Here is a 12885-nt window from a genome sequence, read left to right on the forward strand (position 1 = left end):
GAGGGCACTCAGCTGCCACATGCCTCTCCACCGGTGCAGGTTCCGTGCCGGAATCAAGGACCTGGAGGTGATGACCCAGAACCTGATCACCTCAGCCTTCGAGTTGGTGCGGGACGTGCCGCACGGCGTGCTTCTGCTGGACACCTTCCACAGGCTTGCCTCCCGCGAGGTGCGGCTGCCCCGCGGCTTCCTCGGCTTCCCGTCCCGCGTGCTTTCCTGGAGTCCCTCCTTCCGGAGGCCCTCCTGCCTCCACGTGTGCCCTTCTCCATGTCCAGCATTCGGGCGCCTCTTGTCTTTCTTCTGTTCCCTGGCTTCGGCGTCCCCGGGAGTGTGACTCCCGCAGCGGGGTGCAGCTTTCCTCTGGGATGAGTGACCGGAGGGAACCCGCCTTCCCGGGCACGTCGCCAGCCTCTTCCTCTTCTTCCCTAGGCTATCAAGCGGACTTATGACAAGAAGGCGGTGGATCTCTACATGCTGTTCAATAGCGAGCTGGCCCTGGTGAACCGTGAACGGAACAAGAAATGGCCAGACCTGGAGCCCTACGTGGCCCAGTATTCCGGAAAGGCGCGCTGGGTGCACATCCTCCGGCGTCGCATCGACAGAGTCATGACCGTAAGTGCCTGGCCTTCTCCATATTCTGTCGTCAGTGAGACCGCCAGGAGGGATGGGGGATGGCTCCTGAGAGGTTCCCCAAAGAGTCTTCAGGACCAGCACCTATGTCGGTGAGGGGAGTGGCAGGTCCAGTTCAGTGAGGTCAGTCGTGGGTTAAGATCTGCAGAGGTGGTGTGTGAGGCTGGTAGAACATGCGCCATTTTAGGAATTTCTTTTCTTCCTTCCTTTCTTTTTTTTCTCTCTCTCTTTCTTTCTTTCTTTCTTTCTTTCTTTCTTTCTTTCTTTCTTTCTTTCTTTCTTTCTTCCTTCCTTCCCTCCCTCCCTCCCTCCCTCCTTCCTTCCTTCCTTCCTTCCTTCCTTCCTTCCTTTCTTTTTGTTTTTTTGAGACGGAGTCTCACACTGTCGCCCAGGCTGGAGTGCAATGGCTCGATCTCAGCTCACTGCAAGCTCTGCCTCCCGGGTTCACACCATTCTCCTGCCTCAGCCTCCCGAGTAGCTGGGACTACAGGTGCCCGCCACCGCACCCAGCTAATTTTTTTGTATTTTTAGTAGAGATGGGGTTTCACCGTGTTAGCCAGGATGGTCTGAGTCTCCTGACCTCATGATCCACCCACCTGGGCCTCCCAAAGTGCTGGGATTACAGGCGTGAGCCACCGCGCCCGGCTTCTTTTTCTTTTTTCTTTTTTTCTGAGATGGAGTTTTGCTCTTGTTGCCCAGGCTGGAGTGCAGTGGTGTGATCTCGGCTCACCGCAACCTTCGCCTCCCAGGTCCAAGCGATTCTCCTGCCTTAGCCTCTCAGGAGCTGGGATTACAGGCATGCACCACCACGCCCGGCTAATTTTGTATTTTTAGTAGAGAAGAGGTTTCTCCATGTTGGTCAGGCTGGTCTCGAACTCCCGACCTCAGGTGATCCACCCACCTTGGCCTCCCAAATTGCTGGGATTACAGGCATGAGCCACTGCGCCCGGCCTCATTTTAGGAATTTCATATCAGGCTGCAGAGGAGGAATAGGGCCGGTATCTGGGGTGTTGGGTCAGTAGAAGATACAGCCTCATGATCCAGAGACCTGGACAGGTGACACCCTTACAGAGCCTGGTCTCTCTGGAAAGACAGCACAAAGAAACAACAGAAAAACATTGTTTTAAAACTTTCTGGGGCCAGGTGCGGTGGCTCACACCTGTAATCCCAGCACTTTGGGAGGCCAAGGTGGGTGGATCATTTGAAGTTAGGAGTTCATGACCAGTTTGGCCAACATGGTGAGACCCTGTCTCTACTAAAAATACAAAAAGTTAGCCAGGTGTGGTGGCGGGCACCTGTAATCCCAGCTATTTGGGAGGCTAAGGCAGGACAATTGCTTGAACCCTGGAGGCAGAAGTTGCAGTGAGCCGAGATCGCGCCACTGTACTCCAGCCTGGGTGGTGGAGAGAGACTCTGTCACAAACAAACAAAACAAACAAATGAACACACACACCCTTTGGGAATAAAGGTTGAAAGCTGTTGAGGTAGTGACCTGCCATCATGCAGCTGGTGCTGGTAGAGAGTTAGGCAGCCTGCAGATAGCTGGAGGCTGGTTTGGGCCTGGTGGACTACGCCCAGGCTAGGAAGGGCTGATACTGGTTTTCAACCTTGTGCCTCATATCCTGCTCCTTCTGTGACTGACCTTTTTCTCCCAGCTTTTTTTCCTAAACAAATTCTCTGTGCTTCTCTTTCCTCATTTTGACTCCTTTTCTCATTGCGCCTTGGTCTCTTCCTATCACCTTCCTTTTTGACTCTACCTTCCTTCTAAGTTATCAAAACTCAATCCATCTCCATAGCAAGCCTTATGCATATTGTTGGGGTATGTGCGCATGCGCGCATGTGTAGGTCTCAGGGAGATGGTGGCCCCTGGAGGAAGGTGGCAGGCCGACTCCACCCACCTGTTCTTCTTCCCCTCAGTGCCTTGCTGGTGCTCATTTCCTGCCCCGTATTGGGACTGGAAAGGAGAGTGTGCACACCTATCAGCAGATGGTCCAGGCCATTGATGAGCTGGTTCGAAAAACCTTCCAAGAGTGGACATCAAGTCTGGACAAGGATTGCATTCGGCGGTTGGATACCCCATTGCTGCGAATCAGCCAGGAGAAGGCGGGCATGCTGGATGTCAACTTTGACAAGTACAGGAGCCACCTGGCCCCTTTTCCCTATACTCCCCTTCTGCAGCTCTCCCAAGAATTTCACTCCCATCTTTTGACTCCTCTCTTCATTATTCTCTCTCTTTCTCATACAATATGTTTGCTATCGTCATTTTACTTTTTTTTTTCTTCTTTTATTTTTGTCTCTCCCCACCTCCCACCCTGCTATCAACATTTTAATTTTACAACTTATCTTAAAACACAACAAAACAAAACAATGATCGGCCAGGCACGGTGGCTCACACCTGTAATCCCAGCACTTTGGGAGGCTGAGGTGGGCGCATCGCTTGAGCCCAGGAGTTTGAGAACAGCCTGGGCAACATGGCAAAACCCAGTCTCTGCAAAAAATACAAAGATTAGCTGGGCGTGGTGGCACAAGCCTGTAGTCTCAGCTACTTGGGAGGGTGAGGTGGGAGGATCGCCTGAGCCCGGGAGGCAGAGGCTGCAGTGAGCTGAGATCACACCACTACACTCCAGCCTGGGCGACAGAGTGACCCTGCCTCAAAAACAAAAATCAAAAACCACTCCACTATCTGACTAAACCAGTGATGTCGCTGTTCTGCCACTAGATGGCCATAATGGCTCAGCTAAGTCACCCAAACCCTGTCCCTTTCCTGACTGTTGGTGGGGCTGTCAGACCATGCCTTCTTCTACAGCTTCATTGTTATGAAACTGTCATACTATAATTATTTAAAATGTAATTAATCAATTAACTAATTTATTAAAAATATATAGTGAGCACCTTCCATGTGTCAGGAACTGAAATAGGAACAGGCAGGGAATGTACACAACGGCCAAGTCCCTGCCCTCAGGGAGGTTAGGCTGCTGCTTTCTAAGTCAACAGCTCTACTCTTGGAGTGGGGCTTCCTGTCCACATAAGATGCTTTGAGGCTGTGGCTACTAGTGTTGGATTCCACTCATAAAATGTCCATGCTTGAGCCTGGCCAGCATGGCGAAACCCTGTCTCTACTAAAAATACAAAAATTAGCTGGGCATTGTGGCAGGTGCCTATAATCCTAGCTACTTGGGAGGCTGAGGCAGGAAAATCGCTTGAACCCGGGAGGCGGAGGTTGCAGTGAGCCGAGATCACGCCATTGCACTCCAGCCTGGGCGACAGAGTGAGTCTCCGTCTCAAAAAAAAAAAAAAAAAAAAAAAAATGCTTGTGGGGCCAAATGTAGGAGGGGCTTTGCCAGAGAAGTGCTGTGTGGAGACGGAGTCCCAGGGACAGATGAGACTGTGAGTGTTTGTCCTGGGCAGCAAAAGGTGGCCCAACCAGGGGAAGAGGGCACATTCTGGCTGAGAAAGGAAGCAAAAGAACCAGGATGGAGAAGCAGAGCGGAGTGTCAGGTGAGAGGGGTGAGGCAGAGGCATCAGTGAGGAGGACAGGGATGTTGGGAGCTGCAGGGATGAGGAAGCCGTTGAGGAGCAGAGTGTGCACATGGCTAGGTCGAGAGGTTTGAGAAAAGGCTTCGAGTAGTGAGAGTTGTTGGAGATTGGCTTTGCTGAGCTTCCTGGTTTTGTGAGTTATGGCCAAGCACAGCCACGTAAACATTGCCTCATAAATCAACGATAAGATTCTGAAGACTGAGAAACTAGGCCAGAGTTAGCCTAGTTACGCCATTTGCAAGCGCATAATGGGGTTGAACCTGCAAGACACATTCTCCCATCGAGCTGGGTACCCCCAAAGTTATTGTGTCAGGGGAGCCGCACAGATGCCCTTGGTGTTTATGGATATGAGGGCACACAGTTCACCAGCTGTCCTTTTTCTGTGAAATAAGGGATTGTATTCAAATAACAGGATTTCCTTAAACACTAATGATCAATCTTTACATTTCTTTTTTTTTTTTTCTTGAGACAGAGTCTCACTCTGTCGCCCAGGTTGGAGTGCAGTGGCGCAATCTTGGCTCACTGCAACCTCCGCCTCCTGAGTTCAAGCAATTCTCCTGCCTCAGCCTCCCGAGTATCTGGGATTACAGGCGCCCGCCACCACGCCCGGCTAATTTTTGTGTTTTTATTAGAGATGGTGTTTTGCCATGTTGGCCAAGCTGGTCTTAAAATCCTGACCTCAGGTGATCTGGCCACCTCGGCCTCCCAAAGTGCTGGGATTACAGGCATGAGCCACTGTGTCTGGCCAAGTATTTACATTTCAAATATGAGAGAAAACAAAAGTTGAGACAAGAGGTAAAGAAATGCTGTGTGTGTGTAGGAGGTAGGAGAGGATCAGGAAAACTAACTAATAGGTACTAGGCTTAATACCTGGGTGACAAAATCATCTGTACAACACTCTCATGACACAATTTTACCTATATAACAAACCTGCACATGTACCCCTGAACTTGAAATAAAAGTTAAATTTAAAAAAAATGCCATATGTGGCTGGCGCAGTGGCTCATGCCTAGAATCCCAACACTTTGGAAGGCCAAGGCGGGAGGATCGCTTGAGCCCAGGAGTCCAAGATCAGTGGGGGCATAAACAAAAATTAGCCGGGCATAGTGGTGCATGCCTGTAGTCCCAGCTACTCAGGAGGCTGAGGTGGAAGGATTGCTTGAGCCCAGGATATTGAGGCTGCAATGAGCTGTGATCGTGCCACTGCACTCTAGCCTGGGCGACAAAGCCAGACCCTGTCTCAAACAAAAAAAAAAAAAAAAAGAAAAGAAAAAAGAAATGCCATATGTGAGCACTGGTTGGTGGCTACCTCCTTCTACTCGCCAGGGGTCAGCCAGCGAGAGTAGATACAGCATCAACTTCAGTGCTAAACAGTCTCAAGTTCAAACCCTGGAGCATTTTGCCACGTGACCTCAGGCGGGCCATTGAATTTCTCTGAGCCTGAGTTTCCTCATCTACTTAAAAAACCCTTTCCTGGCATTATCGGGCAGCTGATGACTCACGCAAAGGTCCTCACAAAGAATGAACAACCAAGAAGCATTCTTGCCCCCTTCAAAACAATTGCCTCATAAAACTTGATGAAGATAGTATTTTCAAAACAAATGTAGCAGAGTGATGTAACAGTTTTAGTTTTTAAAACATTTTAACCTTTACAAAGGGCTAATATAGGCATACAGTGTAAAATTCAAAAGTCATTCTACAAAAGGATAGAGAATGAAAAGCCTGCTCCTCTGCTGTCCCCTAGGGGACCCAGTTTCACTCTGAAGACAGTCAGTGTTTCAGATTCTTGTATAATATTCCAGGAATAGACATATATGTCTACTTAAGTATCCTTTTTTGCATAAATAGTAGTGTACTATACATATTGTTCTATATATTCCAAGTGCTTTCAAAATGATTAATTTTTCCATTATAAAATTATTGATCATTTTAGAACATTTGCAAAATGCAGAAAAGTAGAATGAAGAAAAAAATACTCCTAAGAATAACCACTTTTAATGATTTGGTATATTTTTATCACTTCCTCCCCACCCTCCATTTCATTTGGTTGTTTTCCTTTAATCTTTTAAATCTTTACTGGGTATTTTAAAATGACAAAAACACTACATGCTCACTGTTAAGAAAAACAAAAGATTAATGCAGAAGTATGTAAAGAAATGGCTGGCATGGTGGCTCATGCCTGTAATCCTAGCACTTTGGGAGGCCAAGGTGGGCAGATCACCTGAGGTCAGGAGTTCAAGACCAGCCTGGCCAACATGGTGAAACCCCGTCTCTACTAAAAATACAAAAATTAGCCAGGCATGGTGGCGTGCGCCTGTAATCCCAGCTACTTGGGAGGCTGAGGCAGGAGAATCACTTGAACTCGGGAGGCGGAGGTTGCAGTGAGCCGAGAATGCGCCATTGCACTCCAGCCTGGGCAACAAGAGTGAAACTTTATCTCAAAATTAAAAAAAAAAAAAAAAAGAAGCTTGTAAGGGAAAAAGTGAAAATTCAGCACATATCCCCAATCCCTAGAGGTAACCATGATTATCATGTAATCAAAAATATATCCTGCATATATGAAATAGAATCACATCATGAATGGCATTTTTGCAACTTGCCTTTTTTTTTGAATGTGGAGACAGGGTCTTGCTATGTTGCCCAGACTGGTCTGGAACTTCTGGCCTCAAGTGATCCTCCCACCTTGGCCTCCCAAAGTGCTGGGAGCCACTGCACCCCGTCACACCTTGCTTTTTTTTTAAGGTTAACAATCTGTGTGGGGGATCTTTCATTCTGTATGTATAGAATTACTTAATTCTTTTTCCTGGCTTGCAGTATGAAATCATAGTATGGCTGTACTGTAATTTAATGAACCAGTCTACTATTGATGGACTTATAAATTGTACAGTTTCTGTAAGGTTCTTGACTATTCCGTGCTGGTGGATTTCAACTGTGATTCCCGCACTTTGTTCCCTTCCCTCTGCAGCACTGTGTTTACTGAAATTTGAACACAGTGTCCCTCTAGTTAGGATAAACCAGGAGACAACTTCTCTGTCTGCTATTATCATCTCTTGTCTGGAATACCTTCTGCATAATCTTGATAGTAGAGCTTATCAAGGCAACTTTGGGCCAAATATTTATGGCTTGGGTTTATCTGAAATCCAAATAATGGCGAAACACGTCTTCCAGATAGAAGAGGTGCCTGTTTCTGTCCTTTGGGGATTGTTTTCCAGAGAGATGTTATAGGATACTTTACATTTTTGTGGTTTTAAGATAAAACTGCCTCAATCCAGTAAATAATGGAAGGGAAAGAACACGATCACAGTGAAGGATTTTGAAAGTCTGGGCTCATCACCAGTAAAGAAATCCAAGTCAGTTACAGCTTCCAAAACTTATTAACACTTCAAGGAAGTGAAGATAACTTTATCAGATTTGCTCTTTGTGTTCAAGCTCCAGTTAAGATCTTGAAATAAGCAGACTGTCCAAATGTTCTGATGTTCCTCGGAATTACCTGGCTCTCTTAGTCCTGGAGCCTTCCAGTCCCTAATAGCACTGATTTAATCCCACAAGGGGTTTTGGTATCCCACCTATATCCCAAATATTTGAACTCTGAAGTCCAAATTGGCTTTTATCACGTTTTACGGACAGAACAGCTTCACAGATTGCACTTAACACAAACATATTCCAGATGTCATCCACACCCTGGCTGAAGGAGCTGTATTATCACCCTGTGTGGAGCAGAGTAGAATTTCCTGAGAGGAGGAGACGAGATACTGAGGTCTGTTTTTTGTTCCCAGAGCTTCTCTCTCTTTTTTCCCCGGTCACAGAGTGCCTTTTCCCCCCGGGTCAGCCCGCTCTGGGCTCTAACCACTCAATTCCTCTGGCTTTCCTTTCTACCTCTACTGCCTGACCACTTGTTTGGAGATAAATTATGAAGTATTTTTAAAAAGTCATCCCCCAGACAGATTTTTATTTATTTATTTTTTTGAGACAAGGTCTCACTGTGTTACCCAGGCTGGAGTGCACTGGTGCAATCTTGGCTCACTGTAGCCTCCGCCTCCCGGGCTCAAGCAACCCTCCCACCTCAGCTTCCTGAGTACTGGGAACACAGGTGCCTGCCACCATGCCCAGCTAATTTTTTCTATTTTTGGTAGAGATGGGTTTTCACCATGTTGCCCAGGCTGGTCTCGAACTCCTGAGTTCAAGCCATCCACCCACCTCAGCCTCCCAAAGCGTTGGGATTACAGGCCTAAGCTACCTTGCCCAGCCTCGCCACACAGATTTTTTTTTTTTTTTAAAGAAAAACTGATATTTGTCAATGAAATAAAATTTGCATTCTGGAAATTTCTTGACAAACTTCAGTTAAAGACTGAACATCATTCAAAGTTTCTCCCAGGATTTTCAGCTCAGCATCAGGAAGGTATTGTCTGAATTCATCCTGTTGACTGACATATTAAACTTGGATAATTTGCCTTAAAGTTATCTTGAAAATCTTGCCTTGGCCGGATGCGGTGGCTCGCATCTGTAATCCCAGCACTTTGGGAGGCCGAGGTGGGTGGATCACCTGAGGTCAGGAGTTCGAGACCAGCCTGACCAACATGGAGATACCCTGTCTCTACTAAAAATACAAAATTAGCCGGGCATGGTGGCAAGCGTCTGTAATCCCAGCTACTCAGGAGGCCGAGGCAAGAGAATTGCTTGAACCTGGGAGGCAGAGGTTGTGGTGAGCCGAGATTGCGCCATTGCACTCCAGCCTGGGCAACAAGAGCTAAACTCCCCCCCAAAAAAAAAAAAAAAAAAAAAAAAAAAAAAAAAAAAAAAAGAAAGAAAAAAGAAAATCTTGCCAAGATGAGAGAATGAAGAATTTGTTTTGGTGCAATGTTGGCCAGCATACATGCCCAAGTAGGCTTGCTCAGATGTTTATCAACAGTGACAAATCCAAGACATCCAGTTTGAAGGACATGATAATACGTTTATGCTACTAGAAATGTTTCTGTATCTATTCACACACTTCCAATCTCCCCATATCATTATAACACAACTTTTTGTTACATTGATGTTTAGGGCTTATCTTATTATGACTCTATTAGGATTGTTCACTGCTGAGTTGAGTAATTTTACATTGTTATAGTTCTTTTGCTTGTACAATGTTTTGCTCAATTTGGAATTTAAAATTGCCTCATTATTAGGCCAGGTGTGGTGGCTCATGCCTCTAATCCCAGCACTTCAGGAGGCTGAGGTGGGTGGATCACGAGGTCAGGAGTTCGAGACCAGCCTGGCCAACATGGTGAAACCCCGTCTATACTAAAAATACAAAAAATAGCTGGGCATGGTGGCGGGTGGCTGTAATCCTAGCTACTCAGGAGGCTGAGGCAGGAGAATCTCGCTTGAACCCGGGAGGCAGAGGTTGCAGTGAGCTGAGATCACGCCATTGCACTGCAGCCTGGGCGACAGAGCGAGACTCTGTCTCAAAAAAAGAAAAATTACCTCATTATTATCGTTATTACTATTATTATTATTTGAGATGGAATTTCGCTCTGTTGCCCAGGATCTCTGCTCTGCTTCCCAGGTTCAAGCGATTCTCCTACCTCAGGTGATCCACACACCTCAGCCTCCCAAAGTGCTGGGATTACAGGTGTGAGCCATTGTGCCTGGCCACCTCATTATTTTTGCTAGCGCAGCATTCACTATCACTAAGTCCTCCAAACCAACCAATAAAATCCCTTTGAGTAGTATTTTTCCTCACAATCTGACATACTGGGTATTGGTTTCAATGTTTTTCTTAGATCTGTTTTTTTCCTGTCCTCCTGCTTCTGTCCAGCTGGTGTTGTTTTCAAGGCCTGTTACAAAGCAGTTACCCCGGGACTTCCCTCAGCCTCTTTCCTTGTTTGATTTCATGTTTCCTTTGTCTTCCTCTTTTTTGGTTTACGCCTTTGTTTTGTTGGTGTGTATCCATTAGTAGCTTCCTAAGAAATGGTGCAGGGGAGGTAAATCTTTTGAGTTTTTGCATGATTGACAACTGTTTTCCTGCCCTCTGCTTGTTGTACATTTGGCTGGGTTTGGAATTCTAGCCGATTTATAGTAATTGTCTTTGGCTTTGGCCTCTCTCTTTTACTTTGGAGGCTTTCCTTAAATGCCTGGTGATTCATTGCTCATTTATACTTTCAAGAGGCTTACTCACTTTGAAGATATTTTAGCAGTTTTAAAAATACCACATACGTTAGTGGAGATCTTCAGGGTTTGAAAAAACAGCATTTCTTCTTCCACAATCTCTTAAAGCCTGTATCACAAATAAGTGAGCACTTGAAAATCATTTCATTCTTGGAGGATTCTTCTCCAATAAAGACGGTAAAAACACAATCCTTTGCAAAGTTTGAAATGTGTTATTATCTCCAATATTGTTAATTCAGTGTAGAAAAGACTAAAAAAATTCTAGAATTTTCACCTCAATATTCTTTCCAAATAACATTTCAGCAGTATTTAGAATGCAAAGTTTCTTGAGCATATCTTCAGGTCGTGGGAATGTTTATCCTTTGTGATTAAAAAGTGCAATTTTATTTTAAAAGCCCTGCAGATTAAAAAAAATCAAGTTATTTATTTATTTATTTATTTATTTATTTATTCATTTTTTTTTTGAGGGGGAGTCTTGCCCTGTTGTCCAGTCTGGAGTACAGTGGCACCATCTTGGCTGACTGCAACCTCTGCGTCCTGGGTTCAAGCGATTTCTGGCTAATTTTTGGATTTTTAGTAGGGATGGGGTTTCACCATGTTGGCCAGGCTGGTCTCAAACTCCTGACCTGAAATGATCCACCCACCTTGGCCTTCTAAAATGCTGAACTTACAGGCATGAGCCACCACACCAGGCCAAGATTTTTTTTTAATTTTATTTTAAAAAATATTCCATATTTTCTTCTGGTATTTTATGATTTTATTCTCTACATTTAGATGTTTGATCCATTTGAAATTTATTTTGGTGTAGAGAAAGAGGTGCAGATTCAAATTGAGTTTTGTATTTCATTGTTTGTTTGTTTTTTCCTGATGGCTAGAGCCATCTCATTTAGAGTTGACCCAATCTCATTTAGTGAACTACTATCTTTATAGTAACACATTCCCGAGTATATTCGTGTCTATTTTGGGATTCTCTATTCTGGTATCTGTCTATTCATGTGCAGGAACCAAACTGTTTTAATTATTGTCCTCATTACTCTTCTTTCTTCAGAGTTTTCCAGGCTATATTTAATATTTATTTCCCATAAGAATTTTAGAATCAATTTGTTTAGTTCCAAAAATAGTCTCATTCCTATTTTTATAGGAATAGAGATTTGGTTAAATTTATAGGTTAACTTTAGAAGAATATCTTTATGATTTTGAGTCTTTCCAAGAATAGTTGTGGGGTGTGTGTGTGTGTGTGTGTGTGTGTGCGTGTTTTGAGACTGAGTCTTGTTCTGTCATGCAGGCTGGAGTGCAGTGACACGATCTCAGCTCACTGCAGCTAGGACCTCCCAGGCTTATTGATCCTCTTCCGCCTCAGCCCCCCAAGTAGCTGAAACTACAGGTGTGAACCACCGGGCCTGGCCAACAGTGTTTTTTCTTTCAATTTATTTAAGTCCTGCCTTTTCCCCTTAAGTCATTTTACACACACACACACACACACACACACACACACACAATTTCTGATTAATTTTTGGTATTTTATTTTTGTTGTTTTAATTGTTATTGTCTCTTTTTCTTGATGATAATATCTACCTAGTCACAATTTTTGTATTGAGAACTTTGATTTTTATAAATTAATTTTGTACCTAGCAACTTTTACAAATATGTTTAAAATCATTTTTTCCTTTAAAAACATTTTTATTATGAAACTTGTCATAGACAGAGATATACGTAAAACTTGTATGTTCAGGCCGCGCGCGGTGGCTCACGCCTGTAATCCCAGCACTTTGGGAGGCCGAGGCGGGCGGATCACGAGGTCAGGAGATCGAGACCATCCTGGCTAACATGGTGAAACCCTGTCTCTACTAAAAATACAAAAAATTAGCGGGGCGTGGTGGCGGGCGCCTGTAGTCCCAGCTACTCAGGAGGCTGAGGCAGGAGAATGGCGTGAACCTGGGAGGCAGAGCTTGCAGTGAGCTGAGATTGCGCCACTGCACTCCAGCCTGGGTGACAGAGCAAGACTCCGTCTCAAAAAAGAAAAAAAATTGTATGTTCAGTTTAACTAACAAATCATTATAAAATAACAAAATAAAACACCCTTGCAAACTACTGCCCAAGTCAAGGATTGCCAGGAGTCCTAGAGCCTCTCCCACATGCCCACTGAATAATTATTTTTCAGGTGAATTGTTGTTAGCACTTAAAATTCAGGAGATTTTACATGAAAAACCAATTTCTGGCCTCTCTTGAAAAATCAGAAAATGCATCCACACTGGGCCCACATTTCCAGATGGCAACAATTGCCTGGAGCGTGGAGCATGGCTTTCTTCGCGGGAGCATGTCCTCTTCAGCTCAACTTTAAGGCCAAGCGTCAGTTGCCATTTATCATCACACTTGAGCCACACTTGCCTTGGAGGTAGGTGTCTGAATTTCTGAACTTTGCTTTAGCATATTAAAAACAGAAGGAGGTTGGATGTCGGAAAGTAAGGCCGAGGAAGGATGCATGGTTCTGGTGTAGGCGGTGGGATAGTACCCTTCCCTGAGGCAGGAGCGCCAAGTTTGCAGAGAAGATGATGTGCTTGTTTCTAG

General features: G+C 45.0%; 1 protein-coding gene across 11 annotated transcripts in view; it reads left to right on the top strand.

The window, feature by feature from the left end:
* DNAH2 (dynein axonemal heavy chain 2) overlaps positions 1-12885 on the top strand; it is a 115999-nt gene that overhangs the window by 22637 nt on the left and 80477 nt on the right. For 8 of the 11 annotated variants that reach the window (NM_020877.5, XM_047435424.1, XM_011523667.3 and 5 more), the window contains 3 exons: positions 40-169; positions 430-612; positions 2548-2762. In NM_020877.5, coding sequence (NP_065928.2) covers positions 40-169; positions 430-612; positions 2548-2762 — 528 coding nt within the window. Of the gene's footprint in view, positions 1-39; positions 170-429; positions 613-668; positions 754-2547; positions 3522-12395; positions 12713-12885 lie in introns of those variants that run through there. The other 3 variants (NM_001303270.2, XM_047435428.1, XM_047435427.1) reach the window with 3 other exon arrangements.

The sequence above is a fragment of the Homo sapiens genome, chromosome 17, assembly GCF_000001405.40.
Source record: "Homo sapiens chromosome 17, GRCh38.p14 Primary Assembly".
NCBI classification, from domain to species: domain Eukaryota; kingdom Metazoa; phylum Chordata; class Mammalia; order Primates; family Hominidae; genus Homo; species Homo sapiens.